The following is a 22,934-nucleotide window of genomic DNA, read 5'->3' as shown; positions in this document are numbered from 1 at the left end:
CAATAGCCAGAGAGGACAAGGGAGTGTGGTGTCTCTGCAGAGGGCTCAGCATTTGATTCCCTCTGCTGGGAACACGGCCACAGCATTTTATATCCTAGATGAGAGAAAACATTTGTGGCTACGGTAGTTCCCGTATTTTAAGTACCTACGATACACCAGCTTTGGCATACATTATTCTCAATAACTCCTCATACATATCCTGTCATGTAGATATTCCATGTCCTGCATTTACAGAGAAATAAACCAAGGCCCAGAGAGGTTGAGTAACTTGTCTGAGGTCACACAGCTAGGAATTTGAGCCGGGATTTGCTCAAAGCTCATGCTGAATCTCTTATGCCATGCTGTCTCTTGGGTGTCCATAGCCAACACTCTTCTTCCCTACCTCATTCCTACCCCACCACCCCATACATAGCCCAGGGATTAAATCTGAGACGTCCTCATGGCAGCTGGAACTGATATTGCCAGGGAGAACGCAGCTGGGTGGACCTGACCATGTCTCCTCATCTCCCCTCAAAGACCCCACAAAGACAAGGGGAAGGTCCCCTGAGACTCTGTATGATTTATCTGATGATATTGTTATTTTATGGGACGGGCCAAAGAGGTGTCAGGAAGCAAGTTCGCTGTAAATCTCTTTTCTCTGCTCCCTTTCCCTCTGCCCGTCCCCTCCTGGGATTTATGGTGAAATCTGTTCAGAGCTAGGGACTTGGGGCTTTGGGTTCAGGCTTGGGGTGGTACGGCAAGGGACCATACATCTTCCTTCTCTGGGATCTGCTAAAAGTGTGCTACCCACACCCCATCACGAGCTGCAGCATTGAGTCCACAAAGCCCTTATTAAGATCCCATGGCACTCGAATAGCTCTGCAGACAGAACACATGACTTGCAGTGGAGATGTGTTATCTGGACCCACCCATAGGCTGGTGGCCCATGTGTGGCCCCCTCACTGGTGGGCATGAGTTTCTGAATCCAGCCAGGAACCCGGGAGCAGAGCCCACCTGGGAGCAGATGTGTGACCCCCACACAATAGCTCTGAGGCCAGGAAGAAGTGGCGGGGCTGGGGGTGCTCCTCATGGAGTGGCAGGTCAGGGGCTAGCTGGAAAGGAACCTGCTTCTGGGTCCTTTTTGAGATGGGGGTGCACAGGAAGGAAGGCAGCTTGAAATTTGCTCCCTGCCCCAGGGCAGGCAGTCTCAAAGCGACTGGCCCTGCAAACACTGCTGTGAGCTCTGTCACTGGGGGTGAACACAAGGTCACACACTTGAGAGGGCAGATGAAGGCTGGGCACCCTATCCACCTTCACACTTCTGCCCTCCTCGGGGGCTTTCACATCTGCAAATGCTGGGCTGATTGTCCTGAGCTGAGCTTGTCCAGTCAGAGGCCAGTATGTGCTGGTTGCCGCCAGAGGCCTAGAGACAGCTCAGTCCAGGGAGGGAAGAGACAGGAATGAGAGGAGGGCAGAGGAGGGGAAGAGGAGGGAAAGGAGGAGTTAAGAAGGGGAGGGGAGGAGCAGGAAGAGGAAAGGAGGAGATGCTAGCAAAAGCCTTTCCTGACCTGCCCCCCACCCACACCTCTCCTCCACTGTGATGAGAAATCTTCTCTCATCACAGCTCCTTAGAGGGTGCTAGTGTGGCCTCCCACCCACGGTGGCCTCCAGTATTCATGAGCCAGTTGTTGCAGAGGAATTTCTTCAAACAGCCCACGGCCTCTGGATAATGCGTCTTGAGCACCCATGACTCCCCACAGTCCCAAGTCCAGTGTGCAGAATCTTAGGGAGGGCTGGGTGAATCCTGGCTAAATGAATACAGAGAAAAGAAAAGGGGAGAAAAGAAGAGAGTGGATACCAGCTGTCTCCCCCATCCCGTCCTCACCCTGCTCATCTCCTGACTGCCTGAACCAGGGCTGTGCTGTGTCTCCAGTTAAATATATGGAATTATCTATTACAATACTTCGATATTTATTACATTGATTTCGCTTTAAATGCTTTGTAAATCATAGCAAAAAATAATGGCCTTCTAACAGAGAGTCATATACCGTAATCAACTGGAAGAAAGTCAGCATTGTAATTTAAAATAAAAAAAAATCCTTATGTGAGTCTCTCGTTTAAATTAAGAGACAGGACGTGATTCAAATAATAAGGCCCAAGTGAGGCTGGTTTTTCTTGGCAAATTAGTAGAGGTTTTAACTGGAACTGAAAAGGTGTTAAGGTGGAACACTGACCTTATTAGACCTTAATTATTTTCTGTTGTTACGTTCCTGGAGCCGAGGGTTTTTTTTTTTTCTTCCAAAGTGGCCATGTTAAACCTCATCTCAGGAACTTTGGCTTTAGAGGGATATCACTTCTCAAGAGGCATTAGTGGGATAAAAAGCAGACACTTTGCCAGTGTCCCTTTTCTCCACCCTTGAGTTTCATGGGCACCCATAATTGCTGGTTTGGAGGCAATGTTCTTGTCATTGAAAGCTGAGAATTTGCCCCACTCATGTCCCTGATTCCTTTAGCTTTTTACCTGTGGCCTTCCTAGTGGTAGCCTCCTCTCCCTGGATCTAGCTTCAGCCCAGGCTGATGGAGCCAGCATCCACCTGGCCAAGAGAGAGGAGAGGGATGCGTGTGTGTGTGTGTGTGCGTGCATGTGTGTGTGTGTGTGCGCATGTGCATGTGTGTGCTGATTGGTGGGACACAGTGGGCAGCATTTTCCTCACCATGTACTGCAACCTTCCTATTCCATGGCCAGAATTGGCTGATCATCAGTCCCAAAGCTGACCAGGCCGAGACCAAGATGCCCACAGCACTTAGAGATAAAAAATGGAGCAAATGCCACCCCCTTTAAATGGAAATCATGCAAGTCAATGGCCTAGCACTGTACCTGGCCCAGGGAGGCCTCCAACCGTAGTAGTTTTATTTTTGCTGGGAGGAAGAGCACTCAGGAGAGCGTTCTTTTCACTTGCTTCCAGACTCCCTCCCACATGCCCTGCTGGCCCTGGGGTGGGGTGCAGCGGTAGGGAAGAAAGAGCGAGCCCTAAGAGTCCTCAGGACAGACATCTATTCTGCAGCCACATGCCCCTCCCTGAAGATAACCCACTTGAGCTCTTTTTACTAAACACCATTGGCTCCCGTCCTCCCCCTGGCCTCCAAATCGACTTTGGTCTGATCAGGGTGATGGAGAACTTTTTCTGAGGCTGGGTCTCTTGGGGACCATGTCTGGTGGTTCATCACTATCCCAGGGAAGGTCGGGGTGGGGGTGGAAGATGACGTCGAATCAGTGAGAAAGGTCTGAGGGTGAGCAGGACCCGTTAGGCCATCACAGGTGGGACAGCTCCCCCAAGGAGGAGGAAAACCAAGGCTTTCTATGGTTGCCTATCAGCGGAGAAGTGGGGCCAGCACTCTGCAGAGGACCTCCAAAATCCTAGAACATCAGGTCGAAAAGGTTTTAGGGCCATCTCAGCATACCCCCTTGCTTTGTGGAAGAGGATGCTGAGGCAATCTGAAATGATCAAACACCCTGCGTGAGTATCCAAGAGTGGGGGCAGTGTTGAGATGGCAAAGGAGGGGACGCAAGAGCTATGGGTGCTGTGGCCTCTGACCTGGAGGCAATCTTGCTCCAGCTGAAGGGGCCCTGGTGCCTCAACATGCAAGACCCACCTTCAGTTTTGGCATAAGTGGGTGAATCCCTGCTTCTGGCCAGTTGGGGTGACCCTTTCTGGATCCCAGTGACATCTCTCATCACTCAGAAAGGCCACATGGATGAAGGAGGGCATGCTGGGAGGAGTCAGATGTCTGGGCTTCAGCCCTGCATGATGCAGGGAGCACTCCCCCTTTCTTTTTTCATTATTATTATTGTTTATTATACTTTAAGTTCTGGGATACATGTGCAGACTGTGCAGCTTTGTTACATAGGTATACACGTGCCATTGTGGTTTGCTGCACCCATCAACCCATCATCTACATTAGGTATTTCTCCTAATGCTATCCCTCCCCTGGCCTCCCACCCCCCGACAGGCCCTGGTGTGTGTTGTTCCCCTCCCTGTGTTCATCTGTTCTCATTGTTCAACTCCCACTTATGAGTGAGAACACGCGGTGTTTGGTTTCCTGTTCCTGTGTGAGTTTGCTGAGAATGATGGTTTCCAGCTTCATCCAAGTCCCTGCAAACAACATGAACTCATTTTTTTTATGGCTGTGTAGTATTCCATGGTGTATATGTGCCACATTTTCTTTATCCAGTCTATCATTGATGGGCATTTGGGTTGGTTCCAAGTCTTTGCTATTGTGAACAGGGCTGCAATAAACATACGTGTGCATGTGTCTTTATAGTAGAAACACTCCCCCTTTCTAAACCAGGTTCCTCCTGGACCCACTTTCCTAACCCAGCGTGTGGCTGATGAGAATTTGCTGGGAGGCTAGTCACGCAATAGCTTTGTAGACTGTGAAGTGCCGCGCAGGTAGGAGGGACTGTCGTGGCCAGCCGGGATAGCCAACCCAGACGTCGAGAGGAGGACTTAATCAGACATTCATTTGCCAGCCCAGAGTGATCTTCTGGCTTTTACCTCCCTCTTTTCTTTTCTTTTCTTTTTTTCTGTTAATAGTTTTTTATTTATTTTATTTATTTGTTTTTTATTATTATACTTTAAGTTCTAGGGTACATGTGCACAATGTGCAGGTTTGTTACATATGTATACATGTGCCTTGTCGGTTTGCCGCACCCTTGCCTCCCTCTTTTCTACCTTCCTTGTGGCTTAACTCCAAACTCTGCCCCACCAGGGAATGGGACAAGGGAAGGAGCTTAATCCTCCCCATAATATGCCTCTGAGATAGGTATCAGCATACCCATGTTACAGATAAATAAACCGAGGCCAAGAGAGATTAAATAACCCTACCCTACAGCTGCTGAGAGGCAGCACTGGGATATGAACCCAAGTCACTCTGACTCTAGATACATCCGAATCCCAAGGTGGGAGGTAATAGTACACGGTGGAATGTGAGCTACACAAGGGCCAGGATTCATAGACGATTTGTTCACTCCTGTATCCCCAGCCCCTGAAGCAGCACCTGACACTGTCAACAGTCAATATTTTAAAATAATACATATTGGCTAGGTGCGGTGGCTCACACTTGTAATCCCAGCAATTTGGGAGGCCGAGGTGGGCGGATCACCTGAGGTCAAGAGTTCAAGACCAGCCTGGCCAATATGGTGAAACCCTGTCTCTACTAAAAATACAAAAGCTTAGCCAGGCATGGTGGCGGGCACCTGAAATCCTAGCTACTTGGGAGACTGAGGCAGGAGAATCGCTTGAACCTGGGAGGGAGAGGTTGTAGTGAGCCGAGATCACACCACTGCACTCCAGCCTGGGCATGACAGAGAGAGACTCTGTCTCTAAAATAAATTAATGAATATCAACATTAATGTAAAAGTTTGGTGTAGCCAAAGTGACTAGGAATAAAAAAGTTATTGGGAGCTATATCTTACATCACCGTTTTACAGAGGGTTCTGTGTGGTGGATAATTTGAGGTGGCATTTCTTTTTAAAGATAGAGGTGGGGTCTTGCTACGTTGTCCAGGCTAGTCTTGCTCTCCTGGCTTGAAGTGATTCTCCCGAATGGGCCTCCCAAAGTGCTGGGATTACAGGTGTGAGCCACGGAGCTGGGATTACATGTGTGAGCCGCTGGGTTGGCTAGGGGTAGCAGTTGACTGTTCATGGTAGCGGTTTCTCTAGCCATGGCAGAGGTTTGGGCCTCAGAGAGTAGTTGAGTAAAAAAGAAATAGCATTAGCAGTGAAGTAAAATCTCTGTGGACATATATAGATTATATTAAAATTACGTGATAGAGGCAAATCCTACTTTGCCCCTTGGTAGGCCCCTTGGGAAGACCTTACGGAGAAGAGAACACTGCATGCTTTAAAAAAAACCATTACAGCCTTTAATTTTATATATTTAAAGATATTGGACCTTGATGCAAGGAAACCAACTTTTAATTCATCCTGCTTATTTATTTATTTTGAGACAGAGTCTCACTCTATCGCCCAGGCTGGAGTACAGTGGCATGATCTCTGCTCACTGCAACCTCCACCTTCCAGGTTCAAGCGATTCTCCTGCCTCAGCCTCCCGAGTAGCTGGGATTACAGGCACGCACCACCACGCCAGGTTAATTTTTGTATTTATAGTAGAGATGGGGTTTCACCATGTTGGCCAAGCTGGTCTCGAACTCTTGACTTTGGGTGATCCGCCCACCTTGGCCTCCCAAAGTGCTGGGATTACAGGCATGAGCCACCGTGCCCGGCCCCCAGTTTTATTTTTACTGAGCACCTACTATGTGCCATGCACTGGGTTAAGCCCTGGCAGGTTCAGAGATGTCCAAGGGATGGCCCTCAGCTCTAAAGAGCATCTCAAGGCCAGGGCCCTTAGGGAGCCCTCCCTAGGGAGAGCCAGGGGCAGAAGGGCATGCTCAGGGGCTCGCTCTGCCCAGTGTGGCTCTGTCCGCTCTCATTCCGGGTGGGTGGGAGGGTCAGCTTCCTGCAAGAGATCAGTCTGGGGCGTCTCTCTTTCTCCTGTCTCTCCCTCACCTTCCACACTCCACCCCCTCCTCTGGCTGATTGAAAAGGTGCAAGGGGGAATCTGAGAGATTCTGTGCTGTTTGTTTTGGGTTCAATGGAATCTCATTTACACGTGTTAATTGCAACTAATTGGCACTAATTGGATGAACAGGAAACCTCTGGGAGCACTCATACCTTTAATTTATAGTAAATATCATTAATTAACATATGCTAATTAGAGCCAATTAACATTGATTAAGGGTTGCCAGCTACTTGGAAAGTACAACTCTGTGTCCTCCTCCCTTGATTGTCTGAAGTCAGCACAAAATATGATACATGAAGTCTGAGGGGAGGAGAAGATGGCACATGGAATCGGGTGGCATCTCCCAGCGGAGGGCATCACGGCTCCAGCAGCCCTCACCGAAGCTGGGCACTTAGAGGATGGCACCACCCTCACCTTCCCCAGGGAAAAGGGGTCTGCAGGGGAAGGGCCCTGCGAGATTAGCACTTCTCAGGGAGTGGGAAGGAGCAGATGGTGGGAGGTTCTGGGTGCTGAGATGTTCCCCCTTTTGCCTGGCCCCCAGATGGCAGACCCAGCCAGGGTGGGTTGAAACAGGACTGGAGGTCAGCTGGTGGAGAGACTGGGGCCACTGAGAGCAAGGAATGTTTGGGACTCCTCCTCCAGAGATGAGTGGTGGTGAGCTACCCACTGCCCATTGACCCAGTACCATCTGGCATGGGGCGTATGTGTGTGGCCAATTGGAGTGACCCTTTCTGGATCCCAGTAACATCTCTCATCATCCAGAAAGGCCACACAGATGAAGGAGGGCATGCCAGGAGGAGTCAGAGGGGCGTGTGTGTGTGTGTGTGTGTGTGTGTGTGCGCGCGCGCGCGTGCGCACAAAGCCTCCTCCATCTGACATGGATGTATGAATGGGGATATATCTCCTCCATCTGACACGAGGTGCATAGATGATAGGACCACCTCTGTCAGACATCTCCTTTGAGAGTTTTGAGATATTTTTTACTGAAGACTAGGATGCTATTCAAACTTCCCAGGGGCGGTGTCAGTTAAAAAAAAAAATCATTTGCCCAGGAGCCAGAATGCTTTTAGTTTCCACTTTCAGTTCTGTTACTAACTAGTTATGGGACCCTTGGGATTTATTTTAAAAATGTATACATTGTTTTATTTTAGTCTAATTACAAAAGAAATAAATGTTTATGGCAAATCTCACCCTCTCCATTGCTTCCTTCTGTAATGGGCATCTGAGGCCCCGCCCTTCCTCTTCTATAATATTCACCTTGTCGTTTTGTGTTCAATGTCCATCTTCATCAAGAGGCTGTGAGTTTCCCGAAGACAGGGTTTAAGTCTGTCTTGTTCATTGTGCTATTTCATGGACACTAAAAATACTTGCTGGCTAGGTGTGGTGGCTCATGCCTGTAATCTGAGCACTTTGGGAGGCTGAGGCGGGAGAATTGCTTGTGTCCAGGAGCTCAAGACCAGCCTGGGCAACATAGAGAGACCTTGTCTCTATAAAAAATAAAAAATTAGCTGGGTCCAGTGGTGCATACCTGTGGTCCCAGCTACTCGGGAGGCTGAGGTGGGAAGATCACTTGAGCCTGGGAGGTCAAGGCTGCAGTGAGCTGAGATCATGCCACTGCACTCCAGCCTGGGCAACTGTGAGACCTTGTCTTCATAAAATTAAAAATAAATAAAAATAAAAATATTTATTGCACGAATGAGTGAATGAATGAGTAAAACAAAAACCATCTGTATTTTCTACCACCACAGAGAAAAATGACATTTGGCATTTGGGATGTGTGTGTGTGTATGTGTTTGTGTATATATATATATATATATATATATATATATATATAAAACATGTTATACGTAAAGTACACACACACACACACACACACACACACACACACACACACGGCTGTCCCAAAAGGCTTAGTGTAGTTTTTGCTTTAATAACTTCAAAAGTGTAAATGCTACAAACTTTAAAGAACAAAAAAAACCTAAAACCTTAATAATTTCAAATTATTATACACTTAGCATTGCGCCCTCCAGAAAGGCTGAAATTGTTTACAGTTCTGTTAGCACTGGATGAGAATGTGGGTTTCTCAGATTCCAGCTAGCCCTGGGCACTGCTTCTCTCTTTGAGCCACCAGGTAAGTCATTAAGCCCTTTTACTCATCTGCGGAATGGGGTCAGTGACATCAGCACTACTTAACCCTCCCGGTCTCTCATGTGGGAGAATGGGGGTGATTTTGTGACCCAGAGACAGGAGTGTTTGTTCTTCAAGAGATTTTAGTGTTATAGCTCCCAGATTTGAGCTGCTGGCTCTGATGAAAAGAGATGGGGGCCTGGGTGGGACAGAACTTGGAGAAACCTCACCTCCAAGGGAACCTCTGTGGGTAGGTCTTCATTCACCTAACTCAGAGAAATAGGGCTTTCCTGGAGGGGTTTGGGGTTCAGGACAAGGCAAATCATAAAGACTGGAAAAGTCCCCCCATAGCACCACACAGGGTAAAGTGAGTTAAGACCCCTTGCTGTGGGACAGGCCCTCTTCTATATTCTTACATGCGTTCATTCCTTTAATCTTCCCACAACCCAATGATGTAGGTTACTAGTATTAACCCATTTTGCAGATGAGGAAACTGAGGCTCAGACAGGTTAATTAACATGCCCTAGGTCGCACAGCCACCAAGTGGCAGGGCTTCGATGTGAATGGAAGTTTAGAGCCTGTGCTGCCTGCTGTGTACTGCACCCTCCCATACACCCACCTCTGGTTTGAGGAAGCTGTGGCTCCTGGGGTGGAAGCCCCAAGGCGAGGAGCCCCCTGCCGCCTAGGTCCCAGCAGCACTGCTGCCTGAGTCCAAGTGGACCCCCGTTCCCAGCTCCTTCCCCATGGAAATCTGAGGTCTGAGGGAGAGCTGCTGGCGAGGTTCACAGCAGCTTAATTACCAAAGTGATTTTAATTTGTTTTTATTAATTGAAATCTCATTAAGCAAGTAATTTACTCCAACACAGCTTAGGAGTCCACAGTTCCATGGGTGAGGAGGCTAAAGGGGTTTTTAGAACTTGCCTTCATCTGGGGACTGTGCCTCTTACCTGATCCTGTGGCCTGTGTGCCTCTGAGTGTGTGTGTGCATGGGCTTCCCACAGAAGGGTCCCCCAAGGGGACCAGAAGCACCCTTTCTCCTTCTTTGCCCATGCCCCCCTGCCCCACTGCCACAGGGCTCTAGACCTTCCCTGCCTTGCCTTGTTCCCTGGAGTGATGAGGAAAAAATGAACCTGAGCTGTCCCTCTGCAGTGGATGTGTGTACCCAGGTGTGTGGCACGTGGTGCAGACACACACAGATACCATTTCGTATTCACTTATTTTTGTGCCAAGTGCTGTTCTGGGCACCAAAGGTGCTGGGAGAAAAATGGGTCTTCACTTCCTATAGTAAATAGCTCCTTTGCCCCAAATGGTCTTGGGGACAGAGGTCATCCAGGAAAGAGGCAGTTTCTGGGCTGGCTTCTCCCCCATCTCAGCCTATACAAGTGCCCCCACCTCTCAAGATCATGTTGTGGCCACTTCTCCAAAGAGCATTAATTCTCTGCGTCCTCCAGATGCACTGCCTTTCTCCTTGGTGTGTTTCTTCTGAGTTGTGTGGGTCCCCCCTCTGGATTCATTCTTCTGTATACCAGAGAGACGTGCTTCTCTTGCTAGCTGGACTGAAGCACTGTGAGGCAGAGAACTTGCTTTATTTATCCAACCTGAGACGCAGAAGACAGAAATTCTTCCAAACCTGTGCCTTACAGGTGCTGTTCAACTATTGTGCAGCAAATGAGTGGATGAGTTGTGTCCTGCCCCTCCTTTAGAATGCAGCTGAAATGACACTTTTTTGGCAGGGGACAGCAGCGCACGACTAAGATTTGTAAGCACTGTTTTTTAAAATTGTGGTAGAATACACATAACATAAAATTTACCATTTTCCACCATTTTAAAGTGTTTAGTTCAGTGGCATTAAGTACATTCACATTGTTATGCAACCATCACCAGTGTCCATCTCCAGAGCTTTCTCATCGTCCCAAATTGAAACCCTGTACCCATTAAGCAATAACTCCCCATCTTTCCTCCCCCAGCTTCTGGCAACCACCCTTTTACTTCTTTCTCCATGAATTTCAGTCCTCTTGTACTTCATGGAAGTGGAACCCTGCCACGTTAATCCTTTTGTGTCTAGCTTAGTTCTGAAATGGCACTTTTTTTTTTTTTTTTGGAGATGGAGTTTCTCTTTGTCACCCAGGCTGGAGTGCAGTGGCGAGACCTTGGCTCACTGCAACCTCCACCTCCCAGGTTCAAGCGATTCTCCTGCCTCGGCCTCCTGAATAGCTGGGATTACAGGCGCCCACCACCATGCCCGGCTAATTTTTTGTATTTTTAGTAGAGACGGGGTTTTGCCATGTTGGGCAGGCTGGTCTCAAACTCCTGACCTCGTGCTCCACCGCCCTTTGCCTCCCAAAGTGTTGGAATTACAGGCGTGAGCCACCGTGCCCGGCCGTCACTTTTAAAGGGAGGTCTTTTCTGAACTCTGGACTCTGTCAGTTCACCTGTCACATGTTCCTGGGTCCCCTTCCATTACTCTCTCATGCAGCACAAGTCCTTGCCATTGTCTTCCTTCCCCAACTGTAATCTCCAATAGGGCAGAGGACACTTGGCTTCTTCCGGACTGGGGTCCTGGCTTAGATGTGATGGTTTTCAACAGGGTGTTTCACAGTGGGGCCACCACAGGCATTTGGGGAGGCCAATTTTTTTTTTTTTTAAATTGAGACAGGGTCTCGCTCTGTAGCCCATGCTAGAGTGCAGTGGCAAGAACACAGCTCACTTCAGCCTTGACCTCCTGAACTCAAGGGGATCCTCTTGCTTCAGCCTCCTGAGTAGCTGGGACTACAGGTGCACACCAACACGCCTGGCTAATTGGTTTATTATTATTATTATTTGTAGAAATGGAGTCTCACCATGTTGCCCAGGCTGCTCTTGAACTCCTGGGCTCAAGCAACAGGAAGGCCAATTCTTCATTGAACGGGACTGTGTGGGCCATTTAGCATTCCTGGCCTTGCTTATTCAGTGCCTGTAGCAGCCCCCAAATAATTGTGACAACCCAAACATACCCTCCACATCTTCCTACCTTCCCTGGGTGGGGTGGGAGTTTGAAACTAGTACAATTGCCTGTACACTGCCTGGCACATAGTAGGGGCTCAGTGAGCGTATGTTGAAAAGGTGACTGAGAGCGTGTATGAGCCGTGCCTCTGACCTGGCTGGTGTTTCTCCGAGATGGGCGCATGCGCATGTGAGGCTGCGGCACATGCCGCTCCTCTGGCCTGTGCCCCTGGGTGTACTGTACCAGCTGAGGATTCTGAGACCTGCTGTAGACCAGGACCCTGCTTCTCTGGAGTTCTGTCTGCATTGAGTGTCCACAATTTTTGTCTCTCCTCGTGGCCCCTGGCTGCCTCCTCCCTTTGCCCCTGACTATGGCCACTTGGTAGATTTCCAGGCCTGACATTTCGAACATGCAATGCCATATGTATTGCCACTCTCAGGTAATTATCACGTAAAATTAAGCTAGTCTTGTACATGAAACCAGCAATTAGCCAGGGATTGAAGGTCAGGGAGAGCTCGTTTATAGAGTCGCTAACAAAATGTTAAGTGGAAGTGTGTGTCAGATGGGCCAGGAGGCTGGATTAGCCGGGGTCGCAGCGGTGGGACTGGAGAGCTGGTGGAGACTCCTAGCTCTGTAGTACTGGGCACAGCGGGAGGAGCTGGGGATTTACAGCTCACACTTTTCTCTTCCAGCTCTCAATCTGGGGCATGACTTTGAAGGGAAGGTTGCTAAGCCTCCTAAATCCCGATACACACCAATGCCGTTTCCCCACTCATCTGGAAACCTGGTGGGTCCTGCCCAAACGCCTGTATGTCAATTCCACCTCCTGCTTGGCGACCCACCATGCCCACATTTTCCACTCAAGCCTTTCAGATCTGCTTTGGGCACCTGAAGACAGAGAGAATCATCTTTCAAGAGTCAGAAACTTTGCACGTGCCATTCCCTCTGCTTAGAATGCTTTTCCCTTTCTCCCAATTGCCTTATCATCAGCCTGGGAAAATATTTATTTCGGCTCCTAAAATCTCAGATATCACTTCTCCAGGAGCTTTCCCAGATGCCTCACTTGATTCCAGAAGGAGCTATCGCCACTTTTGCCTGGCGAGTACGTTTTCACCGTTACACTTATACGCTATGGCAATTTATTGGTGATTTGTCTGTCTCCCCTACTCAATAGTGAATTATTCATCTATCCCTGGAAACCTGGAACTGCTCAATAAATGTATGTGGCATGAATATACATATTATTCTCTTCTGCCTTTTGTTTTTTTACACATTCTTCAAGGCCCTGCTCGGGCATCACCTCCTTTGTGTAGCTTTCCTGGATTCACTTCCCTAGTAGAATTAATTATGCCTTCTACATTCCCATGGCACTTTGTGTGTGATTTCATTACAACACTTGCCAAATCGCTTCATATTTCCTTATCGGTCTATCTGGGGCTACCACATTGCACAACTCCAGGGGACACAATTTGCATTAAATCAAGCAACGTAGAGATGGCACCTGTACCTGCCCACTAGGCAGTGACCTTCTGCAGAGCAAAGACCCCATGACTTTATTAACACCCTGCATACAATGTGCTTTTCTTGTCCACGTTAGTGTCCATTCAGAATAGGTATGCAATAAACATGCAGTGAACATATGTTTAATTTTTCATCAGGGACAGGAGGTTCAGTGGAGAGAGCTCTAGAGTTGGAGACTGGGGATGTGGGTTCCAGTTCTAAATTGCTGTGCAGCCTTAGGTGAACCACTTAACCTTCCTGGTTCTCATCCTTTAAAATCAAGTCATATATGCTGAAGTGCCTAGGACAAAGTAGGTGCACAATGCATATCAGTTTCCCCCTTTTCTTCATCTGTAAAATGAAGAATTTTAATATTCCTTGTATTCTTCTTCTTCTTTTTTTTTTTTTGAGATGGAGTCTCACTCTGTCAGCCAGGCTGGGGTGCAGTGGCGCGATCTTGGCTCACTGCAACCTCCGCCTCCCGGGTTCAAGCGATTCTCCTGCCTCAGCCTCCTAAGTAGCTGGGACTACAGGTGCCTGCCACCATGCCCCGCTAATTTTTGTATTTTAGTAGAGACGGGGTTTCACCATATTGGCCAGGCTGGTCTTGAACTCCTGACCTCGTGATCCGCCCACCTCGGCCTCCCAAAGTGCTGGGATTACAGGGGTGAGCCACCACACCAGGCCTATTCCTTGTATTCTTGTAGAATGATGAGGTCTCAGGATTGGAAGGAGTTTTGAAAGGGATGTGGCCTAACCCTTGGCATCTTTGAGAGGTCGTCATCGAGTTCCAGTTTGTGCATCTCTGGTAATGAACTATTTCCTCACAAAATAGGCTATTCCACCTTCAGACAGCTCTGCCTTGAAAAGAGCTCTATTGTCTGACTCTTGGCTTCCAAGATTCTCCACCATACGGCCTGGTTTTATATCATGAGGCTAGTCCCACTGCCTCAGATGATAGTCATAGACAGCGATCTGCTCTAGGCTCAAAGATGCCAGTTCTATTGCCATTCCTTATGTGACTTGATTTAAAACCCAGTCACCATCTTGGTTACCCTCTTCTGAGCTTGCCCCTCTTTGTCCAAAGACCTCTTAAGATGGAGCACCAGAAAAGGATAGGACACTCACCTTCCTTTTCTAGAACGTGCACTTTTTTTTTTTTTTTCCTGAGATGGAGTTTCACTCTTCTCACCCAGCCTGGAGTGCAATGGCGCGATCTCGGCTCACTACAACTTTCGCCTGCTGGGTTCAAATGATTCTCCTGCCTTAGCCTCCCTAGTAGCTGGGACTACAGGCGTGCATCACTACGCCCAGCTAATTTTGTATTTTTAGTAGAGACAAGGTTTCACCATGTTGGCCAGGGTGGTCTCAAACTCCTGACCTCAGATAATCCACCCGCCTCAGCCTCCCAAAGTGCTGGGATTACAGGTGTGAGACACCGTACCCAGCCAGAACATGTGCTTTTATTAATGGAACCCAAGATTGTGTTGTTGGCATCTATATGCCTTTGTTTTTCTTTTTTCTTTTTTTGTTTTTGAGACTGAGTCTTGCTCTGTTGCCCGGGCTGGAGTGCAGTGGCACAATCTGGGCTCACTGTAACCTCCACCTCCCAGGTTCAAGTGATTCTCATGCCTCAGCCTCCCAAGTAGCTGGGATTACAGGAGCGTGCCACCATGCCTGGCTAATTTTTGTATTTTTAGTAGAAGAGTTTCGCCATTTTGGCTGGGCTGGTCTCGAACTCATGACCTCAAATAATCCGCCCACCTCGGCCTCCCAAAGTCCTGGGATTACAGGTGTGAGCCACTGCACCAGCCTATATCTCTTTCAATCCTAACAAACATTTCACCATAAGGAGGCAAAGTGCATGAGCAGAATTTCTTTAAAATTTTATTTCACATTTTACAAGTCTGCATTATAAAAAAAAAAACCCACCATATGCAAAGTACAAAAACCAATGACAAACTAGGGGAGAAATATTTGCAACTCACACCACAGGCAAAGAGCTCATTTCTTTAATAGACCAAAAAAAAATATCCACAGCTCAGTGTGAAAAATATCCACAATCTAATAAAAATATGAGCAAAGGATATTAGAAAGTTGACAGGAAAGGGCCTGAAATTGCTTTGTTTGTTTGAGACAGTCTTGCTCTGTCTCCCAGGTTGGAGTACAGTGGCATGATCATGGCTAACTGCAGTCTTGACCTCCCAGGCTCCAGTGATTCTCCTGCATCAGCATCCTGAGGCGACTACAGGTGCACACTACCATGCCCAGCTAATTTTTGTATTTTTTTTTTTTTTTTTTTTTGTAGAGATGGAGACTCCCTAAGTTGCTCAGGCTGGGCTTGAACTCCTGGGCTCCATTGATCCTTCCACCTCTGCCTCCCAAACTGCAGAGATTACAGACATAAGCCACTATGCCCAGCCTTGAAATTGCTCTCAAATATATGAGAAGATGCTTAACCTCACTCATCATAAGAGAAATGCAAATTAAAATCACAGTTGTTTTTCACCTGTCACCTTGGCACACATAAAGATATCTGATAACATTTTGTTGGTAAAAGTGTGGGAAAATAGGCACTCTCATACATTGCAAGGGTAAATTGATAGACTCTGTCTTGGTGGGGATGGGGATTTGGCTTTATCTACTAAATTTTAAAAATGCACAGATGCTTTGTTTCGGCTGTTCCACCTCTAGGAATGCATCCTGAAGATGTACTCACACGTTCACAATAGAAGTCATGTTCCATGAGGGCAGGGACTTCTGCCTGTTTTGTTTACTGTTCTATCTCTAGCACCTGGAATGCTGCCCAGCACATAGCAGGTGCTCAATAAATGTGCTGGGCACATTTAGTAGGTGCTCAACATTTTTAGTAAGAGCAAAAGAGCAGAAATAATGTAAATGTCCCGTTATTATGGAGGAGTATACTGCTGTTAAAAAGACCAGGACAGCCCTCCGTGTACTGATATGTAAGGATCTCCAAGGTATATTACGTGAGAAAACCAAGGTGCAGAAAAACGTATGTAATAACAATGCAGCTGGGTATTTGCTTGTCTAAACACAGAAGGTCTCTGGAAGGAAGCTCTCAAACTGGCCACTGTACTTGCTTTTGGACAGAACAAATTGGGGCCCTGGAACACGGGGTGAGAAGTAGCTTAATTTTTCAGCATATTTGCATATATATATATATATATTTTTTTTTTTTTGAGAAGGATTTTTGCTCTTGTTGCCCAGGCTGGAGTGCAATGGCATGATCTCGGCTCACTGCAGCCTCTGCCTCCTGGGTTCAAGCGATTCTCCTACCTCAGCCTCCCGTGTAGCTGCAGTTATAGGCTCCTGCCACCACGCCCGGCTAATTTTTTATATTTTCAGTAGAGACGGGGTTTTGCCATGTTGGCCAGGCTGGTGTGGAACTCTTGGCCTCAGGTGATCTGCCCACCTTGGCCTCCCAAAGTGCTGGGATTACAGGTGTGGACCACCACACCCAGCCATTTGCTTATATTTCATTTGGATTTTAGATACTGTGAATGTATTACATTTATTTATTTATTTATGAGGCAGAGTCTCCCTCTGTCACCTAGGCTGGAGTGCAGTGGCACAATCTGGGCTTACTGCAACCTCTGCCTCCTAGATTCAAGCGATTCTCCTGCCTCAGCCTCCCAAGTAGCTGGGACTATGTACTCGCCACCACACCTGGCTGATTTTTGTATGTTTAGTTAGAGACAAGGTTTTACCATGTTGGCCAGGCTGGTCTCAAACTCCTGACCTCAGGTGATCTGCCTGCCTTGGCCTCCCAAAGTGCTGGGATTACAGGCGTGAGCCACTGTACCCGGCCATGTTTAAATAAACAAATACAATTCAGAATTTTAAAATAGCTGGGTTCAGGAATTAATCCTTTGCTTTTGAAGTGTACATTCATGTACATGTGTGTTTGTACATTTTTTTTTTTTGTCTGAGGCAGGGTCTTGCTCCGTCACCCAGGTGGGAGTGCAGTGGCACGATCATGGCTCACTGCAGCCTTGACCTCCTGGGCTCAAGTGATCCTCATTTTTTGTAGAGATAAGTTCTCACTGTGGGCTCAAGCAATCCCTGCACCTCGGCCTCCCAAAGTGCTGGGATTATAAGTGTGAGCCACTGGGTCTGCCACGTCTGCACATTTCTGAAGATGTGCATGTATGTGTATGTGTGCATGTATGTGTATGTGTGCATGCATGTATATTTCCAATCTATTACTTTGTTCACAACTGCAGATTAGTCTAGACTAAATGAAACAGGTCCCAAGGATTTCCCTTGTTTGACAGTCTTTGATGGCTCCCCCTTATCTATAAAATCCAAGCTCTTAGTCCAGCATCTCAAGATCTTCTGTCATCTGACCCTAACCTACCTCCTGCCACTCCCTTCACACAGTTTTGCCACAGACAAATGGAGCTACTTGCTTTCCCTATGTCCACCCGCCAATATCCCATCCTATGTCTTGAACTGTGTTCTTTAGAAAACCAAGAACCCCTTCACTTTCATTACTGCATCAAATCATACCCACTCTCCAAGACCCATCAGGAGCCTCTTTCTCCAGGAGGGCTACCTTGATGTCCCCAGTGGGAAGTAGACTCTCATTTTTCATCTGCATTTCTCTTACAGCATTCAGGTTTTTTCAGCCTTGTAATGAAAGCTGTTTCCACACCTGATCACTATTCTCCTAAGCTATTGGAAGGAAGGCAGGGTCCAAGCTTGATTCCTATTTGCATGGTCCTCAGAGCCCATTAAATGCCAGGCACATAGTAGGTGCTTGAGAAATACTGAAGGAATGGATATGCCTGTGTCTATGTGGTGGTGATAAGTCAGTCTGTTCTTTGTATAGTCTGAGCCATCACTATCGTGTTCGTCATCGCTGGGGAAAAGCCTTTTTCATACCTCGCTGCACCCGGCCCTGTGTGGGGCCTTCTGTAGAGCAGCTCAGCGTGAGCCACCACAGCCCCTCCATACCCACCAGCCTCGCTGCAGAAGAGGGGCCCAGACGTGACCAGACGGTGAGGCAGCCACATTCCAGACGGATGAGGCACGCCTGGGAGGTCACATGTCTGGCTCACAACCCACCTGCAGGCACTCAAGCTTTACCGACCCTTGAACTGCCCTGGGGTTCGAATCCTCACTCTCCCTGTGAGTCTGTGCAAATGGGAACTCGCTGTCTCAAGGTTCTTGTCTGTAAAATGGGGATGGCAAGCCCTGCCTCATGGCTGCCGTGAGGCGTGGAGAGACTGTCTGGGTAGTGCCTTGCCGAGGGCCTGGCATCTGGCAGGTTCTCAGAGGTTGACATGCAGGAAGCCACATCAGCCCGAGCTAAACCTAGAAAGGTAAATGTATTGCCAAAAACCCCATATGCCAAGCAGCACTTTAGTACAAAGCCAAACAGATTTTTTTGACTCGACCGTTGTTTGGGATTATTTTGCCACAGTTAATGCTCTGTGGGTGAGAACTCAAGACCCACCCAGGGTGTGGTATGAATGGTGGCCTCACATGTGCGAATGGACCCGTGTGCATGTACACAGACACATGGGTGTGCGCACTTGTTCTGTACAGATGTGTACAGACATTCACATGTTGGTGGACTCCGCAGCAGTCGTGCATGTGTGTCCGTGTGTCCATGTGTCCATACACGCGATGTGTTTGCTCCCGGCCATTCATGTCCTGGTGCTGGCCTAGAGGCCCAGGCAAACTGGGACACACCACCAGAAGGAATAAGGGCTGGCTGGAGAAACACTGAGAAAAGATGGGTAAGAAGGAAAAAATATTGAAACACTCAACACGTGGGTGAGGGGCATGAAGGACAGGAGAGTGTAGTGGCTAAGAGAGCAACCTCTGAACCTCTCCTGGGTTCAATCCCTCTTTCTGCTGATTCCCAGCTTGTCGCTTGGGCAGGTCACTCAACCCCTATCTGCCTCAGTTTCTCATCTATGAAATGGGGATTAGAACAACAGCACCTATGAAATAGGCCTGTTGGGAGGAGTAAATGAGTGAATACACAGGAAGTACTCAGTGGGGCCTGGTACCAAGTAAGTGCTTGCTTCAAAAATACTGGTGGTGAGGGATGGCCTCTGCCAGGGCTCTCCTTTCCTTCCTCTTCCTCCCCTCTGAGTTGTCGCCTCCCAGCATCTTTCCCTCCTCTCTCCTCCCCTACATCACTCTCCAGCCCCCCAACAATGTCCTGGTCTTTGCCAGAGCCAGGTTGGGAGCATGCAGCACGTGCCACTGGCAGGGAAAGAAGGCCAACATGGAGCAGGAGGAGGTGGAGATGCTGGCTCCGAAATGTTGCTTCTTTTTTTCTCCCTGTTTCCCCAGCATGCTCCCAGAGGCAGGAGGTTTGGGGGACAGTGGGAGGGCTCCAAAGAACAGACAATCCCAGCCATTCCCCAGCGGGCCGTGGGTCAGGCCCCTCCTTGCTCCATCTGCCTCTGCCGCAGCCTGTGCCATCCGGTTTGCCAGCCCAGCCCAGCAGGCTGGGACCCCAGGCTGTGCCAGCCCTGGCCCCGCTGGGGGTGGGAGTGGGCCATGGCCTGGGGTCCTTGAGGGGTTCTCTTGCTTTGTTTTATTTTTCTTTATCTCTTCTTTGCTTTCTGAGCCCTGGTCTTTCCCAGCCCTTGTGGCTCTGACTCTGTCCTGCGCCAGCCTCTCTAGCTGTCTCACCCGTCCCTGCATCTCTGCCACCACCTGCCCTGGGTCTTCTGCCAGCTCTGGGCTCAGGGAGCATCAGGCCCTGTCAGCCTCAGCTCCTGCACACACCCCTCTTCGCCTCCTGGGCTGAAGGCTGGCAGCCCCAGCATCTGGAGGGGCTGGCTCTCTGCTCCGGCTGCCCTGGGCCGAGGGTCCTCCTCCTTGTCCCCAGCCTGTCTTCCCCTGTTCCCCTCTCCCCAGTGGCTAGAGTCCTCTTCCCACCCCTCTGCATCCTCCCAGCCCAGGACAGCTTGCTGCCCTCCAGGCCTTGGCTGGAGGCTCACAATGAAGCTGCCTCCCCCCACAGACTGGGAGGTGGAGAATCACCATGGCAACCAAGAAAGCCTCCCCTTCCTCCCCTCCTCTCCCCTTCCTCCCCTCCTCTCCCCTTCCTCTCCCAGCTTCACAGAAGGGGCTAGAGCTCTGGGGGTGCGGGGCAGTCCAAGCCCTCAGAGATACAGGATGGAGAATGGCAGAGGAACAGGAGTAGCTGATGGGACATTTGTGAGAGAAATGGGCCAGTCATGGGACCATAATTCTTGAGGAACTCGGTCCCACTGATTATGTGACTAGTGTGGTCCCAGCCACCAGCTGAGTTCCTATGGCTCTGACTCATCTGGGCACCTTGCTAAATGCAGAGCTTCAGCCTCCATCCTAGACCTACTGAATTCCATCTCCACAGTTGGGTCCTAGGGACCCATATTTTAGATTCTCTCTAGATGATTTCTTTTCTTTTTCTTTTCTTTTCTTTTCCCTTCCTTCCTTCCTTTCCTTCTTTCTTTCTTCTTTCTTTCTTTTCTTTCTTTCCTTCCTTTCTTTTTTTTTTTTTGGTCTTGCTCTGTCACCCAGGAGTGGGATCCCTTCAGTGGCGGGATCTCGCCTCACTGCAATCTCTGCCTCCTGGGTTCAAGTGATTCTCCTGTCTCAGCTTCCTGAGTAGCTGGGATTACAGGCACCCACCACCACGCCCAGCTAATTTTTGTATTTTTAATAGAGACGGGGTTTCACCATATTGGCCAGGCTGGTCTTGAACTCCTGACCTTGTGATCGACCTGCCTTGGCCTCCCAAAGTGCTGGGATTACAGGCATGAGCCACTGCACCTGGCCCTCTCTAGGTAATTTCTATATATGCCAAAGTTGAAGACACACCAACAGGCCTGTGTTTAAATCCTGGCTTGGTCACACACGATCAGACGGCAAGTCTTGTGATTGTTCCAAGGCTCAGTTTTCACTTCTGTAAAATGGGATAATAGTACCAGCTCCCTAGGGTGTTGTTGAGAATTAGTGCTCGCAGATAACTTTGCACAGAGGTTGATGGCCTCCGCTTTCTGCTCTAGGCTCTGCCATCTCCTGGAGACCAGTGGGGTCTGTCGGGGAGCATGACACCCTCGCTCCATGCCTGCCATGGCCTGAGTCTTCTCTGCCATTATGTGTTACAAGACACTGAGAATTCTCGACACTGGAGCAACATGAAATCATTAAGGCAAAACAATAAATAAAGGCCTAAAAGTTATTACAGAGCTGACAGCGCACAACACCATCCTGCAAAGCAAATATGAATTATTTCAGAACATTTTCAAATGAAAAATCCTCTCTTCCTGCCCAGCCCTGTGATGCATTAACTCCTCTTTCCACCCTTCTCACCTGTGTGGAGAGTGGCCAGGCCAGGAGGGCCCCACCCAGCCCAGAGCTCCCAGGGAATGGGGCTGGAAGTCAGCCCATCGTTTCTTTGGCCTGAACGCCTTTTGGTTTGCTCAAAGTGTCTCCTGGTTCCTTGTCTGCACCCAGGATCAGTGAGCAAGCATTACCGGGAGCCTTTCCTACTCCTAACATTGTGTGTCCCTTCACAGCTTCCAGGGAACCCTCCCTACGCTCCAGGAAAATGGGCTGTATTCTTCCCATTTTACAGACGGGAGACAGGTTCAAAAGGTTTCAGTGACAAGCCCAGGGTCTGATAAATGGCAGAGCTGGGACTCAAACCTGCTCCCTTCAAATTTAAATGAGATTAAATAAGACAATGTATGCAGAGTACTTGCATAGGATACTCTAAAAGCTATATTATTATTATTTTTGAGACGGAGTCTTGCTCTGTCGCCCAGGCTGAAGTGCAGTGGTGCAATCTCAGCTCACCGCAACCTCCGCCTCCCGAGTTCAAGCAATTCTCCTGCCTCAGCCTCCCGAGTAGCTGGGATTACAGGCAGGTGCCACCACACCCATCTAACTTTTGTAGAGATGGGGTTTCACCATGTTGGCCAGGCTGGTCTCGAATATCTAACCTCAGGTGATCTGCCCACCTTGGCCTCCCAAAGTACTGGGATTACAGGCGTGAGCCACCGTGCCCGGCCTATTATTATTATTATATTCAAGGAGTCATCCAGGTGCTGCCCTGTTATCCAGCACTGGAATAGGACTGCTGTGGCCATCTGTCATTTTTGACTGCTCAGCATCCCTCCCTTGCTCTGAACAGCACCCCTTCCCTTTGAAGTAATGTCCTCTCCTTTCACTTGGTCTTAGCCAAAAGGCCTAGAAGCAATTGTCCTCTCCTTTCCATTTCAATGGATAAGCTGTCAATCACTGTACCATGCCCTCTCCTGGCCTCTAACACGGACATGAGATCCAGAAATTTAGGATTGCCAAATCATAGTGCCCCATTTTTCTAATTACAGGGACTGAACCTGAGCTAGAACCACTGGAAGATTTAGCTGGGATTTTCTATACAGAGGCAAGTTTTCCCTCTCTCTACCTTACCAGTTCCATGAGGTCATGCCATCTGTCCCCACCCATCCTTCTTACCCCAGATGAAGGAAGCACATCAGGAGGAGAGGATGTAGCCAACACAAAGACAGACACAGAGTTGTAAGATTTGGCAATATTGCTTGAGTGCCTGGATCCAGCTGCACCTGAAGTCAGCTGCACCTGCCTTTCCCAGTTACACAGGCCAATGCTCCCCTTTTGGATGAAACTAGATTAAGCTGGGTTTCAGTCGCTTGCTCTGATGGATACAGGTGCTGTGTGCATGGGAGCACGGCACGTGGCCTTTGGCAGTATATCCAGAGAGG

At 48.7% G+C, this 22,934-nt stretch overlaps 1 long non-coding RNA gene across 3 annotated transcripts in view, besides 2 other annotated features; it reads left to right on the top strand.

The window, feature by feature from the left end:
* The window catches only part of LHX1-DT (LHX1 divergent transcript), a 74,988-nt gene that overhangs the window by 16,760 nt on the left and 35,294 nt on the right, over positions 1-22,934 (top strand). For 2 of the 3 annotated variants that reach the window (NR_135670.1, NR_135669.1), the window contains one exon: positions 12,363-12,907. The exons of the other annotated variant lie outside the window; for it this stretch is intronic. This is a non-coding gene — a long non-coding RNA (LHX1 divergent transcript). Of the gene's footprint in view, positions 1-12,362; positions 12,908-22,934 lie in introns of those variants that run through there. 3 annotated transcript variants of the gene reach the window in all.
* Positions 723-1,240: an enhancer, noted in NCBI's record as "H3K4me1 hESC enhancer chr17:35275943-35276460 (GRCh37/hg19 assembly coordinates)". NCBI's record gives its function as "activates a minimal SCP1, AML or CMV promoter by ChIP-STARR-seq in primed H9 embryonic stem cells {active_cell/tissue: H9 hESC(primed)}" and the evidence as "EXISTENCE:reporter gene assay evidence [ECO:0000049][PMID:30033119]".
* Positions 1,241-1,760: an enhancer, noted in NCBI's record as "H3K4me1 hESC enhancer chr17:35275423-35275942 (GRCh37/hg19 assembly coordinates)". NCBI's record gives its function as "activates a minimal SCP1, AML or CMV promoter by ChIP-STARR-seq in primed H9 embryonic stem cells {active_cell/tissue: H9 hESC(primed)}" and the evidence as "EXISTENCE:reporter gene assay evidence [ECO:0000049][PMID:30033119]".

The sequence above is a fragment of the Homo sapiens genome, chromosome 17, assembly GCF_000001405.40.
Source record: "Homo sapiens chromosome 17, GRCh38.p14 Primary Assembly".
In the NCBI taxonomy this organism is placed as follows: Eukaryota; Metazoa; Chordata; class Mammalia; order Primates; family Hominidae; genus Homo; species Homo sapiens.
This window is presented reverse-complemented; position numbering and strand designations above follow the sequence as displayed.